At 33.5% G+C, this 23,769-nt stretch overlaps 1 protein-coding gene across 16 annotated transcripts in view; it reads left to right on the plus strand.

The window, feature by feature from the left end:
- CCSER1 (coiled-coil serine rich protein 1) overlaps nucleotides 1–23,769 on the plus strand; it is a 1,477,902-nt gene that overhangs the window by 840,421 nt on the left and 613,712 nt on the right. The window contains exon 13 of one of the 16 annotated variants that reach the window (XR_001741218.2): nucleotides 17,125–17,298. The exons of 14 other annotated variants lie outside the window; for them this stretch is intronic. The gene's annotated coding sequence lies outside the window, so the exon portion shown is untranslated. Of the gene's footprint in view, nucleotides 1–17,124; nucleotides 17,299–23,769 lie in introns of those variants that run through there. One more of the 16 variants, XM_011531950.3, reaches the window with a different exon arrangement.

Here is a 23,769-nt window from a genome sequence, read left to right on the forward strand (position 1 = left end):
CAAAAGCACTGTTATGAGAACCTGGGAGTCCACTGGAAAAGTGCCAGCAGCCCAATGGGATAAATAATCCAAAAATAGACACACTGAAAAAAGTAAGAAGAACAGTTTTACTTTATCAGCATCACCCCTTTTCCCAAGGCAGTAAAGCTCAGTGCCAAGAGAGACCCTCTTAATCCATGATTTCTCTAACGGAGAAAACTGAAAGCGTAGTGAATTCCTACCTTCCTTAATCATGTGGAATGCTGTCTAAGAGGCATGCCCCTTCCAAACCTCACAGATAACATGAGAACAGTAGGTGTAAGTATCCTGCAGATATTTAAGAGTAGAAAAAAGAAAGATAGGCTCACAGACACCAGAGAACAGAACTTAAAATAATATGTTAAAATATTAACATAAAATAATAATAATAATAATAAAAGAACCAAAATAGTATGTCGAAAGAACTTTAAAAAAGAGCCAAGAACTCCACCAAAAGGTTCACTTATGAAGCTTGTGATATGCATCCCTTGCAGATTTCCTCAACTAACCCACACATGCCCCCAGCATTCATCCCTTCCTTAGCAGGTGCTCCATGTGTGCCCCCACAGATAGCACATGCAAACCTCTGAAGACTGTACTGTAGCACATATAGTCACCTTGACAGACTGCTGGACTGGGAGAAAGCACAGAACCTAAGCACTTCAGAGCAAACTGCCCTAGGGAGAAAATAAACAGGGGACTCTCAGCACCCAACATGGCTTTGTAGAATTGAGAGAAGACATACAATACTTAAACTTTTCCTCAAGAGGGAACAGGAGGAGTGGAACAGGTACATCCATAGAAAAGGTCTGGGAGACCCCAAGAATCCATATCCAGGCTGATTGGTGAAGGTATTTCTCTCCAGAGATGATAAATTCTACAGGAAGTTACATCTTCACCAAATGAAAAGACTGTAATGAAAGACTGCATTGAACACAAAAACTCAAGGAAACATAACACTATGACAGAACATAATAGTTTTCCACTAACCAACCTGAAAATATTAGAGATCTATGAAATATCTAAAAAAAAATCAAAATAATTGTTTTAAGGAAGCTCAAGATGCTACAGAAACACAGAAAAATGAACAAAAAGAAGAAAAACAATATATGAACAAAATGTAAAGTTCAACAAAGAGACAGAAATTATTTAAAAAAACAAATACAGGACTGAAGACAATAAATGGAATAAAAATTGAAATAGTCTTTCATGAGCAGACTCAAGCAGAAGAAAGCATCTGTGAATGTAAAGACAGGTCATTTGAAATCATCCAGTCAGAGGATATAAAAAAAGAACACAAAAGAGTTAAGTAAGCCAGTGAGATCTATGGGACACAATTAAATGAAACAGTATACACATTATGTAAGTGTCTGAAGATAACAAAAGGAAAAGAGAGCTTATTTAAAGATATAATAACTGAAAATGTGCCAAATCTTGAGAGGGATATGAACATCCACGTTCATGAAGTTAAAAGATTTCTAAAACAGAATAACTTCAAAAAGAATATACCAAGACACACGATAAAAATATTATGAAAAGTAAAGGACAAAGAAAGAATTTTGAAAATAGCAAGACAAAAGCCACTTGTTATAAGCAAGGAAACCCCATTAAGCTATTAGATGATTTCTCAGCAGAAAGCTTCCAGTCTAGGAGAGTGAGATAATATATTCAAAATTCTGAAAGAAAAAGACTGCCAACCAAGATACTACACCCACAAAAACTGTCCTTAAGAAATAAAGAAGAGATAAACACTTTCCCAGATGAACAAAATGACAATCTATAAAATGTCTAACAAAAATTTAGAGGGAATTTATTAACATTAGACATGCCTTAAAAAATGGTAAAGGGAGTTCTTCAAGATGAAGCAAAATATGCTGTTTGGTAAGAGGAACATATGAAAGCATAAAACTCACTGGCAAAGGTAAATATATAGTTAATGTCATAATTATCTGATGCAGCAGTGGTAGTGTGTAAACTACTTGTAATTCTAATCTAAAGGTAAAAGACAAAAGTGTTTAAAATGATTAGAATGAAAATAATATGTTGAAAGTTATACAATATAAAAAGAAGAACCTCTAGCAGATACACATAAGAAATAAAAAAAACCTCTAGTAAATATACATAGATAAAGATAAAGAAATCAAATTATACCACCGCAAAAAAAAAATCATAAAATTACAAAGGAATATGACAAGAGAAGAAGAAAGAAACAAAGAAACTGCAAAATGTTCAGAACAACAAGATGGTAATTTTCCAAATCTAGTCATTACCTATATAATTATTGAAAATATAAATGGATTAAGCTTTCCAGTAAAAATAGATAGAGTGGGTGAATGGATTAAAACACACGATCAAACAGTGTGCTTCCTACAAGAGACTTGCTTTAGCTTTAACAACAGACATAGACAGGAAATGAAGGAATACAAAAAATATGCCATGCAAATGGTAACCAAAAGACAGTAAGGGTGAGTATAATTATATTAGACAAAACGAACATCAAGTGAGAAATTGTCACAAAAAACCAAGAATGTCATTATATAATGAGAAAAGGTCATTTCATTAAGTGGATATAGCAAGTGAAAAAAATATATGCATCTAACATACAGCACCCAAATATATAAAGCAAACATTAACAAAACTGAAAGAAGAAATAGACAGAAATACAATAGTAGAAGATAGATACTATGTTATCAACATTGAATATATCATCTCTATAGAAAATTAAATAAGGAAACAACAGACATGAATAACATTATAGACCACATGGGCTCGACAGACATTTTATCCAACAGCAGCAGAATGCACATTTTTCTCAAGCACACCTATGACATCTTTCAAGATAGATTATATGTTTAGTCATAAAACAAGTCTTAACAAATTTAACAAGGCTGAAATCATAGAATTATTTCTGACCACAATGGTATTAAACTAGAAATCAATAAGAGGAAGAAAAATCACAAAATTTAAAATGTGTGGAAATTAAACACACTCCTAAATAATGAGTTGAATCTAAAGGGAAATAACTTGAGAGAAAGGAAAATAGTAACACTACATACCAACATTTAGGACATGAATACAGTGAAAAAAAATTACTAAAAGAAATTTTATATCAATAAATGCCCATGTTAAGAGAAAAAGGCCTCAAATAAACCACCTAACTATATACCTCAAAGAATTAGAAAAAGAAGAACAAACTAAGCTCAAAGTTAGCAGAAGGAAGGAAATAGTAAATATTACAGCAGAAGTAAAGTAGAGGCTAGAAAAATAATAAAAAAGATCAACAAAATGGTATTTGTTCTCATACTATGATAAAGACATACTTGAGACCGCATTATTTATGGGGAAAAGAAGTTTAATTGACTCACAGTTCCACAGGCTGTACAGGAGGCATGGCTAGGGAGGCCTCAGGAAACTTAGAATCATGGTGGAAGGTGAAGAGGAAGCATGCACCATCTTCACATGGCAGAGCAGGAGAGAGAGAGCAAAGTTGGAAGTGCTACACACTTTTAAACAACCAGATCTCTTGAGAACTCACTCACTATCACAAGAATAGCAAGGGAGAAATCCACCCCCATGGTCCAATCATCTTCCACCAAGCCCCTCTTCCAACCTTGGGGATTACAATTGAACATGAGATTTGGGTGGGGAAAGAAAAGCAAACCATATCAGAGATTGAATCAATAATCCAAAGCCTTTCAGCAAAGAAAAGCCTGCAACCAGATGGTTTTACTAGTGAATTCCACAAACATTTAAAAAATAATAAATGCCAATACTTTTCAAGCTCCTCCAAAAAAATTGAAAAGGACAGTATGCTTCAAAACTCATATTACAAGGCCCAAATTACCCTGAATATCAAACCTTACAAGTATTCTACGAGAAAAGACAACCACAGGCAAATATCCCTGATGAACATAGATGTAAAAGTCCTTTCCAAAATAACAGAATACAGTACATGAAAGGATTACACTCCATGGTAAAGTGGGATTTAACCATGGGATGTAAGGATGATTCAATATATCAAAAATAATGTCATACAACACATGAACAGAATGAAGAATAAAAACATATAATCTCAATAAATGCAGAAAAAGAAATTGATGAAATTCAACACCTTCTCATGATAAATACTATCAATATATTGGATAAAGAAAGAATGTACCTCAACATAACAAAGGCTGTATGTGAAACACCCACAGAAAACATTAAACAGTGAAAAGCTCTATGCTTTTCCTCTAAGATCAGCAACAAGACAAAGGTTTCTACTCTTACCACTTCTATTCAACATAATGCTGTATGTCCTATCCAGAGCAATTAAACAAGAAAAAGAAAGAAAGACAACCAAATTAGGAAGAAGAAAAATTGTCTCTGTTTGCAGATCACATGATATTATATGAAGAAAACCCTAAAGATGCCACCCAAAACTATTAGAACTAATAAATAAATTCAATAAAGTAACAGGATATAAAATCAACATTAAAAATCAATATTATACATATATCAAATTACTTTGTTGTACACCTTAAGTTTATACAATTTTTATACATTAACAATTAGATATCCAAAATGAAATTAAGACAGCAACACCATTTAAAATATCATAAGAAATAAAAAAAACTTAAGAATAAATTTAACCAACAAAGTGAAAGATCTGTGCACTTGAAACTATAAAACGCTGATGAAAGAAATTGAAGATGACATAAATAAATGAAGATATCCCATGTTAATGGATTGGAAAAAATAATATTCTTAAAATACCTGTAGTACACAAGGTGATAAAATTCAACTCATTCTTTACCAAAATCTCTTATTTTTTGCAGAAACAGAAAAAAAATTCTGAAATTCATATGGAATCATAACAGGTACAGAATACCCAAAGCAATCTTGAGTAAGAAGAAAGCTGGAGGCATCACAATTCCTGATCTCAAAATATATTATTAAAATAAAGTAATCAAAACTGTATAGTACTGTGGAAACAGATGTGTAAAAGAATGTAACAGAATAGAGAGTGCAGAGGTAATTCTCCACATTTGTAGTCAACTGATCTTTGACAAAAGTCCCAAAAGCATACAATGGGGGGACGAAGGAATAGTCTCTTCAATAAATAATGTTGAGAGAACTGGATATCCATATGTAGAAGAAAGAAACTGGACCATTATCTCACACTATATATAAAAGTCAACTCAAAGTGGATTAAATACTTAGACATAATACCTGAAACTATAAAACTGCTAGAAGAAATATAGAGGAATGCTGCTTGACATTTGGCTGGGCAATGATTTTGGGACATGACCCCTAAAGTACAGACAATAAAAACAGAAATAGACAAGTAGGTTTTTTCATCACAGCAAAAAGTTTGTGTACTAGCAAAGAAAACAATCAACAAAGTAAAATAACAGCCTAAGGAATGGGAAGAAGAAAATGTTTGCAAGCTATCCATCCCATAAGGGGTGAATATCTACAATATATGATACTCAAGTAATTCAATAGAAGAAAACAAATAACCTGATTAAAAATTGGGCAAAAGGCTCAGTCATTTCTCCAAATAAGATGTATGAAAGGCCAACTGTTATATGAAAAGGTGCTCAACATCACTAATCACCAGGAAAATACAATCATAAGTACAATGAGTTATCACTTAACACATGTTAAGATAACTGCTGTCAAAATGACAAAACATGACAGGTGTTGAAGAAGTTGTAGAGAAAAAGCAACCCTTGTACAGTTGGTGGGAATGTAAGTTGTTACTGCCATTATGAAAAACAGTATGGAGATTCCTCCAAAAGTTAGACTAGAACTATCAAATAAACCAGCAATCTTACTTCTGGGTATATATCCAAAGGAAAGGAAATAAGTACGTCAAAGAGATATCTGCATTTCCATATTCATTGCAGCATTATTAGCAATAACCAAAGCATGGAAACAACGTAAATATCTGCCCGTGGATGAATGGATAAAGAAACTGTGAGATACAGAAACAGACAAACGCATACATACACACACCAACACACACACACTCCAGTGGCATATCATTCAGTCATAAAAAAGAAGAAAATCCTGTCATTGTAACAACATGAATGAACGAGAATGTGTTCCTGGTCCATTCATGCTAAGTGAAGTAAGCCAGACACAGAAAGATAAATACTGCATGATCTCACTCATATGGAAAATCTAAAAATCACGATCTCATAAAAGCAGAAAGTAGAATGGTGGTTTTCAGGGGCTGGGATACGTAGGAAATGATGAGGCATTTGAATAAACGGTAGAAAGCTTTAGTTATGCAGGATAAATCAGTTCTAGAGATGTAATTTGCAGCAATGTGACAAGATTTAACAATACTGTATTGTATACTTGATATTTGCTAACAGTAGATTTTAAGTGTTCTCAATATCTACAAAAAAGTATGTGGGGTGATGTATATGTTAATTGTCTTGATTGTGGTAACAATTTCACAATACATATATCAAAACATTACATTGTATACATATCTCAAAACATTACATTGTATACATATCTCAAAACATTACATTGTATACATATCTCAAAACATTACATTATAAACTAAAATTATGCAATTTTTATTTTTTCAATTACAACTCAATAAAGCTGGGAGAATTGTGCTTGAAAAAAAAGAAAAAGGCTTTCAAGAAAGTGAAAATACAGCCTCCAGAATGGAAGAACATATTTGTAAATCATGTGTTTGATAAAAGACTCATATTCAAAATACATAAAACATATTTTTCTCTAAATAAGATACACAAATTGCCGATAAATGCATGACAAGAGTCTCAGCACCTTTACCCATTAGGGGTATGCAAGTCAGAACCACAGTGAAATACTTCATAACCATAGGATAGTTAAAATAATAATAATAAAAAAAGATAGGCAAGTACAACTTTTGGCAGGTATGTGGAGAAATCCCTCCTACTTCATTGATATGATTATATAATAGTATAGTCACTTTAGAAAACAGTAAGATGCTTTCTTAATCTATTAAACATAGAATTACCAAATGACCTACCAGTTCCACACTTCAGTGTATACCCAATATATAAAAACTTATGTTCACACAAAAACTTGTATTCAAATGTACATAGCAGCATTATTAGTAGCCAAATGTGGAAATAATACAAAATATACATGAACTGATGAATCCATAAAGCAAAGTGTTATATCCACATGATGGAATATTATTCAGCCTTAACATGTAGTGAAATACTGATCTATTTTACAATATAGATCTACCTTGGAAAATATATGTTTAGTAAAAGAAGCTCATCACAAAACATCACTTATTGTATGATTCAATTTATATGAAATGTTCAGAATAGGCAAATTTATGGAGACAGAAAGTATATTTGCATTTATCAGGGGTTAAGAGAAGGGAGAGTAGGAAATGAGTGCTGATGGGTATTGGGTTTATTTTTCAGATGAGGAAAATTTCTTAGAATTAGATAGCGGTTATGTTGAACAATTCTGCAAATATACTAAGGAAACACAGAATTGTATAATTTGAAATTGAGATATATGGATATGTTAATTTGCTTGTCTATGCTAACCATTTTACTATCTATTGTACATAAAAACTTCATATTGTGCACCTTAAATATATACAATAATTTTTTTCTAAATAATAAAAGAATGAAAGAACTGAAAGAGTGAATTTTATGGTATGTGATTTATATCTCAGTAAAGCTGTTATAAAAGAAACAGATACCTAATGAGTAATGAAACTGTCAAACACGGAAACAGAGTCTCTAAGTAATTTGCTCACTAGTTACTGCAACTTCTCTCTGCCAGGCCATTATATTATTAGTAGTAGTATGGTTATCATTGTCATTGTTATTTTTGTTGCTAAACAGATGAAAATCCAGTTACTATGTAAGGATATTGCAACATCACATTATTACCAATGTGTTTTTACCTTATTAGCAATGTGTTTGTTTAAAACAAAGAGATATCCTATGTATATTTGTAACAATATTTGAAAGTAACCCATTTTTTCTAATACAAAATACTCATTATATTAATTATTATAAATTAGAATGATGTTATTTATTGTTATTATATTCCCAAAGCTCTAGAATGTTAAATGATGAAAAGAGACCTTTACTGGGAATTTAGAGTGGGTAACATGTCTAAATCTAATTTTGCCTTTTATTAATTGTGTGACCTTAACTTCTCATTTAACTCCCTTTGTACTGGTGACTTCATTTTAAAAAGTCAGAGGTTTATCTCCGAAATTGGTTCAGTTTGCTCTAATTTTTATTTTTTGTGTTACAAGCATAATTAGTATAGAAAAGCCAATTAACCTAAGGAAACTATTTGCCACAGATTTTGATAGGCAGAATTAAGATTTTTAATTTACATTAAAAGGCTAGACACATTATTAAGAAAAGTATTGTGAATCAAATTAACTAATAAGAAAAGGGAATGATTGTATAATTTACAAAAAACAAAATCAAAATACAACTCATGAAGAAACAGGGAAAGTGGAAAAATGTTCACTTACCAAAATGCAAATAAAATAAGATTTCTTTTTTGTATGTAAAATTTTAAAAGCTTTATAATTATATCTAATTTAGTTATAGATCAAATGACATATTTTGCTGTTATAAAGTAAGTAGCAATAATTTTAGGTCAAGCAGTTTGGCGGTAAGAATTAAGATTAAAAAAAATAGTCACAGCCTTCAACCCAGTAATCCTATTTCTGGAAATCCACCTTAAAATATAAACCAAGATTGTGTAAATATTTTAAGATTAAAATGATAATTGTAACATTATTTATAATACTGAAAGTCTAAAACTAATCCACAGGATCAACAATAAATGAGTATTTAAATAAAGTATGTTGTAGTTATACTGTAAATAAATAAAAATGAAGGAAATGTTGCCAAAGAAAATATTTCTGGAGACTTCATACTACTAAATTATCAGCAAGTGTAGGTGACCAAAATATGGATAATTATTTTATCCATAATATTTTACAAAGTTTTCCAGTTTTCCATGACTATTCCTCTGTGGTACACACAGAAAATTTCCCATCCAAAACCGTTTGCCATTTCTTCTCTACTAGCAAAATTTCGAACTTCTTTTTAGACAAGCATTATTCTCAGCATTCATTCAGCAGCCTTTGAAAGTGAAGGTGACATGAGACACAGCTGTGCTTAATAAAAATATAAATAGAAAAAATTGAGTGAAGCTTCCAAAAAATTTGTTTAAAATGCTTTAGTTTTTATTGGTACCAACCTTTTGTTCTCTGCCTCTCCTTCTTCATATTTGGAATAAAAATACAATGCTGGAGGTAAAACAACCAACTTGTGACAACGAGAACACAATATAAACTAAAGCTTCATGCTAAGCAAGACTTCGCAGAAAGACAGAGGGCACCAGGATTCTTGATATCACTTTGGAGATTGTTCCAGCCCTGGCCACCTACCTCCAGCCTTCTTAAGAAACAAAACTAAATTCCTAACTTGTTTAAGCCATTGACTAATTATGCATTCTGATACTTGAGGCTAAAAGCAATCTTTGACATATACATACGTATATATATATGTATATATACACACACATATGTGTTTCTATTACATATATAAATGCATATATTATAATTATATGTGCTTGAATTGGTGGGGTTGTAATTTTCTACATAATTTCAAATTGCATATACTGGCATTATAAATTGAACATGTATATTTGCAATTATGTATGTATATATACACAGACATCATATATGTGAATGAATAGGAGTACACTAGACAGTTAATTTCCTATTCATTCTTCCATATTTAGCTCAAAGGAACTTTCTCTGTGAAGCATCTTCATTTTGCTTTCTTATAATTTGAATGAACCTCTAATACAACATACATAATCTTATATTGTAATCATTTGTTTGTATATCTGCCTTCCCACTCCCACTCATTTCATTGTCAGTTCTTGTTGGGCTGGGATATCGACTCCATCATCATTTACACATTTAATAGATGACAATAGATTAGCTCATAAGCAAACATTGTAATGATTCACTTAGATATTATTTTCATTTTGATGGTATCTGTTTAATTCTATAATATTCTCAATTCCTTTTCAATGCCCTATGTGCTATGATGTATGCAACAGGCATTCAATGATGTCATTAATTAACTGATAACAGTTGCAATACATGTATATTAGGGGTTTCTGATATCCTGCAAATTACATCTAATACAGGAAACATTTGGCTGGATATTCGTTGATCTACAGTCTAGATTCAAAATACGAGTGGATATTTTCAAATATTTTCATATAATGCTTTTTCAGGGACTGAACTAACAGCAAATGACCTAGCACACAGATTCCACAACCAAACTGTGTGGGGACAGACCAAGTTACTACCTTGATATATTCAAATGCGTCACTTAATCATTTATATTTTGTGTTCCTCAATGGTAAAAAGAGGATAATAATATTTTTATTGGGTTTTGTGAGAATTCAAAGAATTAATGTACACAAAGCTCTTAGAACAATGTTGAATGTATGGAAAGCACTCAATAATACTTTCTATAAACAATGGTTTGCAGTAGGGATGCATAATTAGATCCTAATCTGCCACTTTAAAAATACCTCTCAAGAGTCTGTCTTTCCAAAATGTCTATTATTTTCTTTTCTTCTTCATTGCTTCATTAAATCTGCAGTTAATTAATGTATTTATGTTACAATAATCTAATTTAGATTCAGGGAATGTGTTGAATGTCCTCACATAGCTTCTCAATATGAAAATAATAAATAATTCTGTAGACTGAATAAAAATGAATCAGAGTGAGATTGAAATTGCAATCTCAAAATTAGATTTTGTGATGAGGGATCTGTAGACCGTAATTCAATCTTTCTCTTTGCTTCAGTTAGGTTAGATGATGTTCCTTGGAAAATGTGAAGTTTATATGTTTTGTATGCATGGTTTGTGAAGAAGTCATTGATGGGAATTGTTTATGTGATAGTCTTTAGAAAGCTTGTGTGATGAAGCTCAGCTCCTATAAAATTTCACTTCAAAAACAGCCCTTTGAATACCAGTTTCCCATTTTGGAGATAATCTTTTATTGTCACAAAATATGTATTTAAATATTATGAAAACTAAAAACAAGGTAAAGTGTCTCCCTAAGTACAATAAATATTGAATAGAATTATAAATTTATTCTAGAAGAGGGAAAATGCAAACAACTACTTCCAAGCACCCTAAAACAAAACAGCAATTCCTTTCATAGTTCTAAGTTATACTTTCTGATGTGAAATGAGTAATTATGCACTGCTTTATTTTAATATATGTATATAAACATAAATATATACTTTTAATTATATTTAAGGTGTGTATATATGTATGTATACAAAACATTTTAAATATTTTTTAAAGCAAAGCCAATTAGATACTAATACAGTCATCACATTACCTAAACATTTATTTATTCATTCATTCAGTCATTCATCAAAGATATGATGAATATCTTTGATATTGTAGACTTATCATGTATTGAGAATGGCTTTAGGGATCTGAATATAAGAGATAAGTTCCTATACTCATGGAACTTATAAAATATTTTATATTTTAAATGTTATATATTTACCTGTATTTCTGGATAGATGTTATGAAAAATGTCTTTAAATTTGTTTATATGGTGTGTGGCTTATTCAACCTGCCCATTTATTTTTTCGTTATGCAAGTACGCACTGATGATCTAATATGAGCTAAGGACTTCTGGTAGTTATTAAGGCTGTTCCCAAGGGCACTTGAGAGAATTACACTTCTCCATCTGCCGCCATATGACTACTTTCTTTAGCCAGTGAAATGTGAGTAGGAGTCTTAACTTGTGTCACTTCTGATAGATTTAAATATCAAAGTGATTGTGGAAGGCATGGCCATTGGAGCCTCTATTTGTCTGGTGATTAATCGACCGCGATGAATAGAGCTCCATTTCACGTTTACATTGGCTGTGTAGACGGAGATGAAAGATACTCTCCCTGTGTTAAGCCATAAAACATCAGAGTTATTTTGTTAATGAGGCATAACCTAGCATATGCTTACTGATATAGCACCATTGTAGGTGCTGAGGATATAATTTTAAGCAAAGCAGATAAAGTACCTGCCCACATGGAATTTATGTTCAAGTGATGAAACTATAACTAAAAAAAAATAATAAACTGATACAGGATATGATGATGAATAGCACTAAATGCTATAAAGTTTAGTAAGGAGATAAATAATCAGGGTGGATGCTATTTTGGATAGAATGCTCAGGAGAGTAATTTCTGGAAAGGTGATACTTCATCAGAGACCTTACTTAAAGGGCAAGACCCTTAGGAGCTGCACTAGCAACAGTGTTGCAAAAGGCCTGGCACACAGGTTCCAAAAATGCAAGCTATGTAGTCCTGAGCTCACCAGTTAGGAGCTCCAGCAAATAATCTGGAGAAATTATGGGGAAATATGATAGCTCTGAGGCAAGAGAGTGTGCCCTGTGAACAGCACAGAGCCCAATGTGTCTGCAGTGGACTGAGCAAGGGGGAGACCTGTAGGAGATAAGTCATCTAAGGTCGTGTGAGTACACAGAACAAGTGATGCCTCATAGACCTTCATGAAAGTAAGTTAGAGAAGAAAGTTTTGAACACAGGCATTATGTGATTTGACTTATGATTTTTAATAATCACTTTGAATTCTTGATGAACAATAAACTCTAGAAGGTAAAGAGTAGAAACTGGCAGACTAGTTAGGATGATATTGCAGTATTGGGTTGTTGTAATAGCGATGATACTAAGTGTAGACTGAGCTAACAGGATTTGCTCTTATTTTGTAATGGTGAGATGAAGGGAGTGTGGCAGGGGCCAGAGGAGAGGAGAGAGAGGGAAAGTAGGGATAGATTAGAGAGAAGGCATGGAAAGACGTACTCGAAGGAAGGAATGCCACGATGAAGGCCTGGACCACATAGAATGAGAAGTCAGATCCCATTTTGAATTCCAGAGCAGATTTTGCCCCCAGGCTATATTAAGAGGTGAATACTCGAACTACCACAGTTACTCTTTCATTATAATGAATGTTATCTAGAATTTCCGGTAGCGCATGCTATTGGTGCCCTGCCCATAGTCCTTGATTAATTATCATTTCTATGCTTGTGGGTGCAAATTGCAGTCAGCTATCACCTTTGCCAGGAGGGCTCTACAGGTAGACCTGAAGTAGAAGGGCATTAACTCTCTCTAGGGAAAGCCCTCAAACAATTACAGAAGTTGGTGGATAAATATTCATCTCCCTACCCCCTTGGGCAGACCCTAAGCTGTGAGTTCTGCAATGATACTTAGAGTTTCCCAGTGGGGTTAGGCTTCAATTGTCCAGATTGCTAACATATTTGACAATGCAAACTTTATTTCTTTTCTTCCCCTTTCCACTATGAAAAAGTTTAGATATTTCCTAGTATCAGCTCCTAACTAAACTATTTGTACTCAAATCTGTTTCTCAGGATCTGCTTCTAAGGAAACCCAAATAAAGACAGTTTATACACGGATGAAAATTTATTGAAGTTGAATATTATCTAAAGTAAAACCAAAGGTTTTCCATTCTGAAAGTGAATCAAAATCTGTTGATGGTTCATAGATACAATATTGCAAAGATAATTACGTTTAATCCCCAAAGCAACCATATGATGTTTTTAGGGGGAGCTTCTTGAAAATGAAGTAGCTATTTAAATATAAGTTTAAACATCACAAGGGAAAGGATCTGTTTGATTTACTCATGAACTCCAAAGACCTGGAGGAGTCCCTGTCACATACAGGCACTCAGTGAGTATTTCAAAGAATACTTAAACTAAAAATAGTTCACATCCATCTTGGAAGAATGTTTTTGATGGGGAACCCAAGTTCAAGAGGATAACTACGTGAGCTCTGAAGGAGAAAGGAACTTTCAAGCAAAGGAGAGACATCAAGTGAAGCAGTAATAGCAATTAGGATAGCTTATATGAGGTCTCCTCAATGGTGTGGTTGCTATAAACATTTTTATAGGTGCCTTACCTAAGGCTAAGAGAAGTAAAGCATTTTTTTCTTAGTCCCAAAACTGATGCATGAGAGTAGCTACATTTGAGCTCAGGCTTGTCTCCATCTTCCTGCACCCTTGCATAATCTCGAATTCTTCCTGCTGACTGGCCTAAGTTAGGCAGTTAGATTTTGGAGAATGGATGTAAGTCCAAATATTTCTTAAAGCAAAGACTTTTTAAATAAAATGAATGCCATAGTCAGTTCAGGCTGCTATATTAAAATATCATAAACTGGGTGGCTTAACAAACGTTTCTTACAGTTTTAAAATCTGAGACATTCAAGATCAAGATGCTGGCAGACTGGTATCTGGTGAGGGCTCTTTTCCTGGTTTGCAGATGGCTACCTTCTTGCTGTAACATCACATGACAGAAAGAGTGAGCTCTGACATCTTCCTCTTCTTTGAATGGCAGTAATTTCATCACGGAGGCTCCACCTTCATGACTTCACGTAAACCTCATTACTTCCCAAAGGCCCCACCTCTAAATATTGTTACATTGGGGTGTAGGGTTTCCACATATGAATTTGAATGGAGGGAACACAAATACTCAGTCCATAGCAATATGCATAAATTAGCAGGATTTTTTCAAACTTACTTCTCACTTGTAATTTGCAATTTTAACCAAGGTTTAATCTAGGACCAGAATGGGAAAGATATTATATAGAATGCTAGATGAGATCCAATAGGGTGAGGGCAAAGGAAAGGCTGCTATTTATTATTCTATATTTCAACAAGTAAATGATAGCATCTAAACAAAAAAAAATTCCTGCAAAATGTCATAAATTACCACACACTAATATCAAAGTGCCTAAAATAAACAAACTCCTATCATGAAGGGAAGTAAAATTCAACTAACAGGTGTTCCCACAAAGGAGAAAATAAGGTCATTCCTTTGAACCTAGGTGGCTGAAAAGAGTGAGAAAAGATATTCTCTAATAAGACTTCTATAATAGGTTCCTGAGGCTTGACAGCCTAAAGCCAAAACAAAACAAAGAAAAAAAAGATAGAGTCCTTAGAAGCAGACCAGTGAACCCATACTCACTTGCACCTTCAGGCCAAGAACACGATTGATAGTTATAGTAGTACATCTAAGTGCATTTCCTCAGGTTTCCATGACCTCAATCCATCTCCCTCTCCTTAGACCTTCTCATTTACCAGTCAGCAGCATGACTTACGCTATGCATATTCATTCTACCCTGCCTCCAGCACAGAGACTCAAACACATTCTTTCATGAATCACTATCACAACCTTTTAACAGTTTGGAGTATATTAAAATAAAAGCAATTCCATTTGAATCCCATTTTTTTTTGTCCTTGGATAAATGTAATCAATAATTAAGTTGTCAGCTTTTTGTAGAGAATAGACATCTCATGTTGTTTTTAATGATTATTCATTTACACATAATTCTTTGCTTGCCTAAAAAATATTTCTACTACCTCAAATTCCCAGTCTAATTTAATTTTTTTCTCTTTATGTACTAAACATTTTTGAAATCAGCAACTCTGTTATTTTGTCAAATTTACTGTAAATAATTTGGGTAGAGAACTGGATATGTGACCTCCAGGGCATCTTCAGTCACTGAAAATCTGTGATCCTCTTCCTAAATCTTTCGTGGACTCTCTCCAGATGTTTGTATTACTAGAAATACCTGAGAGTCCTGTTTTAACAGTGTTTATTAATAATATAGAGCCTTAAAGAACCTCATAAAGCAAGATTTTGGTGTTTTCAAGCAAGACTAACAATCCAAATTAAGGAAAAAAATAACTTACAAATATCAAAAAACAAAACAAAAAGCACCAAAGGGAAGGGAGTAGAAATTATGCATTTGGGCTATTAGACATCCTTTTCTCACACACTTAGTCTGTAATATGTTACCTAATAAAATTTAACACTCAGGCATTTTTCTAGTGAGAATATTTCATCTTTCTGTGCACTATTCTTTTCCTTTAGTGGAATATCTATTATACTCATTTGCCTGTATGCCATGCAGTTTGGCACATAATCACACACTGTTTATACGATTCTCTAAATGCTTGTCTCCTTGAGAGATTACAAGTAATTCAATTCACTAAAGTACTGTTTCTCTCTTTTTGTATCAGCAACAGTATTGAAGTAAACATTATGATACTTCTCAGTATAAGTGACAGTCCTGGGCACAATGCCTTCCTCATAATAAATTCCATTATTGGTTGGATTAATGCTCAAATGAATAAGTACTTGCTGAATTGAAGTAAGATGAAATGCATACTGGACAAGAATGACTGTTGGTAGCAACCACTGAAACAATTTTTGTTGTCTAAGCTGTTCACACACCATTTGTCCTTAAAGGTGCGTTGTTGAGAAAGTGCAATGTACCGAGTACTGTGTTAACAACTTATATAATCTAACTTTATCCTCACAATAACCTTAAAGAAAAACAGAGTCATAATTACTTCATTTTCAAGTAATAGAGAACTTGGATTGGCTTAAATAACAAATGGTATAACTTGATTCTAGTTGCAAGTAGGCAAGGATCTGTCTCTTGGCTGTACGTTAGCCAAGCAGGATCCTGGTAATGGCTGCCAGTAGCTTTCGTGTCTCCCCTCTTGGTTGCAAGATGGCTATAATTACAAAGAAGACAACTTCACACCTTGAAAGCATGGGAAATGCAGGGGAGTTTGTTTGGGAGAGTCTAAACAAGTGTCTCTTAGTTGAGTTAGCCCCCCATGCCTGGATCAATAACTAACTTATTGACTTAAGCTAATCAGGATCTCTTTTAATGGAGTGGTGTCAAATTAGCACTAAGAGGGGGAAAAATTGAAAGAAATACTAAGCACTAGTTATTAAAGAGTGTGGAAATGTGCACTAGAATGCAAAAGTAAAATAAAACTATTATATCCATTGCATCTCTTTTAAAGATAAACATTGACACTCTTTCTACAGTCAGACTTAGTATCTTAGTCTGTACACAGTCAGACTTAGTATCTTAGTGAATTATTCTTTATTTCATTATGTCGTTTACCAAAATATCCCTATTGATGTGTTTTGTCTTAAATTCCACTGTCTGACTTATTTCCAGACACTGCCCCCAACTTCCATCTCCCTTGGCTAAGTGAAGCTGAAGGCTCTGGCCAGCAGGAAAGGCGAAGGCAGAATAATTGCCTGACAGGTTTTGGATTGGAAAGGAACTGGGGAGGGAATGGAGGAGGTAGCTTTCAACCTCTCTCTGTCGTTTTATTTTAGGTGTATATCTGGTGAGTAATATAACACCAAAAAATTATTTTAAATATAATTTCATAAATTATCTGTTAATAAGTGAGTTTTTGTTTGTATTTTTTGTAATTGTAATTAATTATATTTGGACAGATCTACATCTTATTTTGTGTTGTTTCTTGCCTCTTTTCTCTGCCTCTTTTTATTCTTCTTTCTTACCTCTGTTGAAGTGATAGGCTTTTATTCCTTATTTTTACCTTTACTGTTTAGAAAGCCATCAGATTTTTTTTTTCTTCTTTAGCGGTTACTCTTAAATATTTAATAAAATATTTGGCTAACTTTTTAAGATAAGAAAACAAAACTGTAAAGGGCTAATGTTACTTTCTTAAAATCACACAGTTAATATTGGCAAAAGTGAAATTCCAAATTAAGTCTGTCTTCAACACCAATATAATAATGCCTCCCTTAAATATTTGTTCATTGTCTTCAGCTCTGTTATCTGCCATACAATAGGTGCTTCTAATTTTTTTATTTTGGCAATGAAAGAGATTCCTGTGTACTCTCAGTATTAGTAATACATACATTTTCTTTTTATTATACGTCATCTGAATGGCATGTCTCTTTGCTGCCATTCATTTCTATTTAACTGATAAAATTTTAATTCGCTGGCTAATTTTCTCCCTGCAACTAATGACCGCCCACTTGTATTTTAGGAATGTGTTAATTGAAGAAAAAAAGAAAAGAAACAGAATGACTTGTTCAATTAATAAGTGACAAAATACTGTTAGGAGCCATATTTTTGACAGCAAAAATATTAGACCAGTTAACTAATACATTCAGTGTAGGATTTGTTTTTTATTCAGTAACTTTTGTGATTAGACATAATGCTAGTTAATAACATTAAGTAAATCAGTTAGTACATTTTGGGTGAATATTATTTTTGCATTCTGAGAACCCATAAATGAAAAACAGTTTACTAGGAGTTTAGCTGAACATATAAAATGAATTGATTAAACATGTAAAGAAAGTCATAAAACTTCATCAGTTTGATTTTCGGCATGTTAAGTATATCTTAATCTGGTAAATCAAAGTATGTGCACCACTGTTCCAAGGAGAAATTTTGAATTAATTTTTGGTAACTTTTTGGAGTCCTGCTTTCTGTCTTTTTCTCTTAACTTATACTGGAAGAAAACTGTTTCACTGATGTTTCATATTCAAAACTAGCTTGACTAGTTTTAACCTTGATGTTTTTAATACACACTAATATTCGTGAATATTTCTATTTGAGTAGAAGTGAAGATTCATATGAGGTAGTCTGAAAGTTTGAATGTCCTCAATTTTATAAATGAATTTAAAACACCTGATTATTTCTGAAACAAAAATTGCTAAAGAAAAAATAGAGTGTATATATGAACCTGTATTTAAATATTTGATATGCCTGGATCAGTTAGAGAGATCTCTAAATCAAAGAAGCTGGCCAAGCCAAGTGAATTGGAGAGGAAAATACTGAGATCATCAGAATTAGAGAGTAGAGGCTAGTTAGACACCAAACCACATGCAATAACCCTCAGAATAAAATCTGAGGAACTGTGTCAATCATCAAGTTTGAGTTGGTCTTGGGTAAAAAAATGGCAGTAGAAACACTAGCAACTTTTTGACATGAGAAGGTAGTTAAATTTAAGTTTCAAGGGAAAAACCATAAATCATTGGCATGATTATATTTACAATTTCGATATTATTACAGAATATTTGCTAAACTCCCCATAACAACGCCTTCGGAGACCCTGTGTATCATGCAAAGGTAGATTTAGTCAACTTGCTAAATAAGGGAGAGCACCTGCTTAAGAGAGAGAGAATGAGGGAAGAGTCATGTAGGGTTTATGGACCTCGGGTTAGACACGTACTGTACAAGGCAGATGGTCATAAGTGAAGTCTAGGGAGGGATTGATCAGAATTTGTAAATTAGGTCAGTTGCCAGAACTGTCCATGAGCCCATGCAATCAATGAATTGAACTGCTAAATCAGCTTGTGATTTTATCTAGAAAAATACACATGTGAACAAACTGGTGCTAAAAGAATTTAAGCTTAGTTTGTCTGTCAGGATATGGTCTTTACAGTTCATCTGTTTTTCAAGTCAAGTAGAATTTGTGGTTTGTGTTTCATTTCGTATCTAGTATTCAGAACAGTGTCTTCCCTTTTTTATTTACTCTTTACCCATAGCCCTTCCATGGCATTTTGACTGGGTCTTGTAGTTTCATGTGACTATTTTACAATTCACCAAAAAATAAAACTAAACCATTATATTGCTTATGACATTTGCCTAGTGACTCTTTTGTCCTGTTCTAGACTTGCCTTCTCCTGTAGATCTTAATTCTAAGCATCCTTTCTCTCTGGTTCAAAACAAATCTTTCTGGAATATAACTTCCCTCAGTGTTTTGAGATTTTCAAATGTTGCCCAGTTTCTTAAATATATGCTACTTGTACCAAGGCACCCATTCATATTCAGGACTGTTAAATTGCTAGATAATTTAGGAGGAAAAAAAATGAATTTTTATTACTTTTTAATTCAACTTGTGTTTTTTCTTGTATAAAATTACCATGATTTTTGTTTTTATCTTTAGCATTAGACTTAAAAATGTGTTGTACACAGGTCATAGCAGCTTGCTTTGGACTTGTGCCATAGATCTCTGAGGATGCAAACTCATTCACCTCTACTGTTCATTGTACCCAGAGGAAAAGCTTAATAAGTACTGCTGTAACAAAATCATATTATTAAATAGAGTAAAATTTATTGACATAAACCCTATAAGGTTTAATATCCCCTAATGTTTGAAATATTCAGGTTTTATAATTTTCACAGATCTAGCCAATATTTTATTAGAAATTATGAGAAAGAGGATATGCTGCATAAAGTCAGAACTAAAATCCGCAATATTGTAAGTTGGAGTAAAGAATGATAAACTACCAGGCATGGTGGCTCATGCCTGTAATCTCAACACTTTGGGAGGCTGAAGGAGGAGAATCACTTGGGCCTAGGATTTTGAGACCAGCCTGGGTAACATAATGAGACACCATCTCTACAAAAACTAAAAATGAAAATTAAAAAATTAAAAATTATTCAGGTATAGTGGTATATGTTGTAGTCCCAGTTACTTGGGAGACTGAGGCAGGAGGATCCCTTGAGCCAGGAAGGTCAAGACTGCAGTTAACCATGATTGCAGCACTACACTCTAGCCTGGGAGACAGAGTGATATCTTGTCTCAAAAAAAAAAAAAAAAAAAAAAAAAAAAAGAAAGAAAAGAACAAGCTTAAATATCCTGGTCTTGACATTTTTTTTGGTTCATATAACATAATGTTGATTTTTTTGTTCTTATCCTACCAATTTAACTTGCTCAATAGTCATATCTTTGTAAAATGTCAGCAGGAAATTTTGATTCCATTAAATCAAGCCAATTATTGCTGGTGCTAATCATCATGTTTTTATCTGATAAGATAAAATAACAAAGTGATGTTTCTAAAATTTATGTGTCTGTGTTATGGGAGGGGTTCCACTAATATTTACATTTAATTTTTGCCTTTTAGAAATGAAAACTATAAATACTTATAATGACATAATAGACTTGATGGCTGATTTGTTTCATTTTCATTATTGAAACTCTCACATATTTGTATTTGTTACTGATATTTTCACTACTTATTTTAAGCTTTGATAATACATGGAAAATTAGAAGCCATTACAATAAGTAAACAATGAGATTCTCCAGCAAGATTTGGCACACATAAGTGGTCTGTTTTGTGGGGTTTTTTATTTTATGTCATTGTTTTTATTTTACTTTCCCTTTTTGAAAGTAAACTAATCAACAGACTTGGCTAGACACAGCATCTCCAAGTTGGAAAATGAAGTATTGAACACTGGGATAAGCTACAGAATATATATTCTATACATTCACCAAGAATTCCATTTAGCAATCCATGACATGGGAACATAAAAGTTTCATACAGTTTGCTAAGGCTTTGATAAATTTTATGTTGAATATTTTGAGGCAGATCCTGAAATTCTGAGGATATTGAACCACCTTTACAGCCAAGAGACATTTCCCTTTGGCTTCAGGAGAGATTTTACACCTTGTAACAGAGAAGAATCATGGAGCCTGCGTGTTTGGGCCTTTCAGTCTCCTCTTAAACATTACAGCAAAAATAAACCTAAGACTTGCTATTATGGAACAGCTTGAGTTGCTGGGAAATATAATCAGTGTAGATATTTGTGTATCATTGTTTACCATTTCTATGCCCTTTATCTGAGTTAATGAAACACATCTGGGGTATACGTTTTGAAGGAAAATGAAAAAGATCTGCTTATCCTCACTTAAAATACATTCTGTTCATCTCCACCCAGAGCATTAGAAAAAATAGGTAAAGTAAGCTATCTGAGATAGCTTCTGAGAATAATGGTTTCATTTTAAATGGGAGAATGCCTGAAGGGATTTCTACTGTAAGGGTAAAGAAAAGACTGACATGCAGAAATAATGTCTACAGTAAGATGAGTGACCTTCCTTTTGAAAGGTGGAAGGAAGAATGCCTAGAAATGTCAGATGCATAAGACTAAAAATGGAGATGTTTCCCATTCTGAAATTTATTTTTGATCTTTGGGTTAGAGCTTCAGATAGTACTGCAAAAGCTCCCTGAGTGACTCTAATCTTTAGCAGTGTTGAAAACCACTAAAAAAAAGCAAGTCTTATATTTGACAGAAAACAGGGAGATAGAATTAGAGAGAGAGAAAGAAAGAAAGGAAGAGAGGAAGAGAGATGGGAGCAGGGACGATCCGGAAATATATAGAGCATTAATATCAGAAATTATATGGTTCTAGCACTTAGTTATTGTTTCTTCTGGGCTCTTAGTGACCTAGGGTACCCAGAAGATGTCTGGTCCATGAGATTTTTACAACCAGATGCGACCTTGAAATGTAAATGGACTTTAAGAGATTGTGTGACATTATGAAGTGGGTCCTTATTTGCCACATAATGCCTATTGCATGTTAAATGCTTTAATTATTTATTTGTTTAAATTAAGCAACTCTCAACAATATAGTTCAAAGAGTGCTTTCAAGTGGAGAGTAGAGCATAATATCTCCCAAGTTTCTGGGAGACTGTTTCAGCTACAAGATATACGAATGTCACCCTATCAAAGGCCTGACCTCTGTATCCCCTTAGGCCTCAATGGTATGAATTCTACTCACTGGGGCAAAATGTACCATATAGTAAAGCCATGTTCTTCTTAAAATACGATGTACATAACCAAACACAGTATTTTGTGCTCAATTTTGCCATTGCAGAGGATAGACACTTATCTTCCTTGATCTGGATATTATAGTTCTTAACGCTGACAGCTCTTAATGCTGCCAAAGTTTCATCAGCACTCTGGCTGCTTTATCAGACTCTGCTTATCAGACTCTGCAATTGCTTTGAGCTTGCAGTGAATATTTGTCAGGGAGTGCTTCTGGAAAGCAGTTCTAGGTTGCCATTCTCTCAGAATCAGATGGAGTGCTTCCTGCAGGTCTAGATTCTTGGGCCCAGATGCACTGAATCAGAATTTCTGACAGTAGAGCCCACAAATCTGTAAGTACAATACATTCCCTGGGTCTTTCTAAAATACCCTAAAGTTGAGAACAGGTCTTCTGTTTATCTGTGAAAAATGAAAGGGGCTATTACCACCTATAAATATGTAGATTTGTGATGAATTGGGCATTTATGGGAACAACAAGAATATTAGTCAAAAACAGACCTGGGGTTGAGTCTGAGACTAGGAAGTGGCAGCAGAATTTTTAAATTTCTAATTCTATATTTTCATGATTTAACTACCTATCCTCTAATTCAGTGTTTCTTAAACTTTAGTGTGATCAGATCGCAAGGAGCTGATAGAATCCAAGCTTACCCTTTCAAAGACTAATTTTTAGGCAGGTGTTGGGGCCCAGGAATTGCCTTTTTAACACGCAGTCAGGTAGTATTGTGAGGAAATGATCCACAGGTTGAAGTCTCTTGATCCTGTTCTTTTGTCTCTTCCAAGATGTTCTTCCCTTCAGGTCTCTTTTTTTTTTATTGCCTCCTCATCTTCTCTATTTCTTTGGGTTCTTCTCCTTAGTTTGAGCAGACTTAAGCCACTCATATCCTAAGATTATTTTCTTATCAATTTGTATTAATTTTCTAGAGATGACATAACAAATTACCCACAAACTAGGTGGCTTAAAACAAGAGAAATTTATTGACTTGCATTTTTGGAAGCTAGAATCCTGAAAGTTCTATTGGTATCATCAGGCCATGCTGTCTCTGAAGCCTTTAAAGAGAAATCCTTCTTTGTGTTTTGCAGCTTCTGGTACTTCCACGTATCCACTTCTGGTACTTCCACGTATCCCTTGGCTTGCAGCACCATGATTCCAATTTCTGCTTCAGTCTTCACAAGGCTGTCTTCTCTCTATGTCAGTATGTCTATGTCTTCACATGGCATTCTCCTCCCT

This window comes from Homo sapiens, chromosome 4 (genome assembly GCF_000001405.40).
Source record: "Homo sapiens chromosome 4, GRCh38.p14 Primary Assembly".
Classification (NCBI taxonomy): Eukaryota; Metazoa; Chordata; class Mammalia; order Primates; family Hominidae; genus Homo; species Homo sapiens.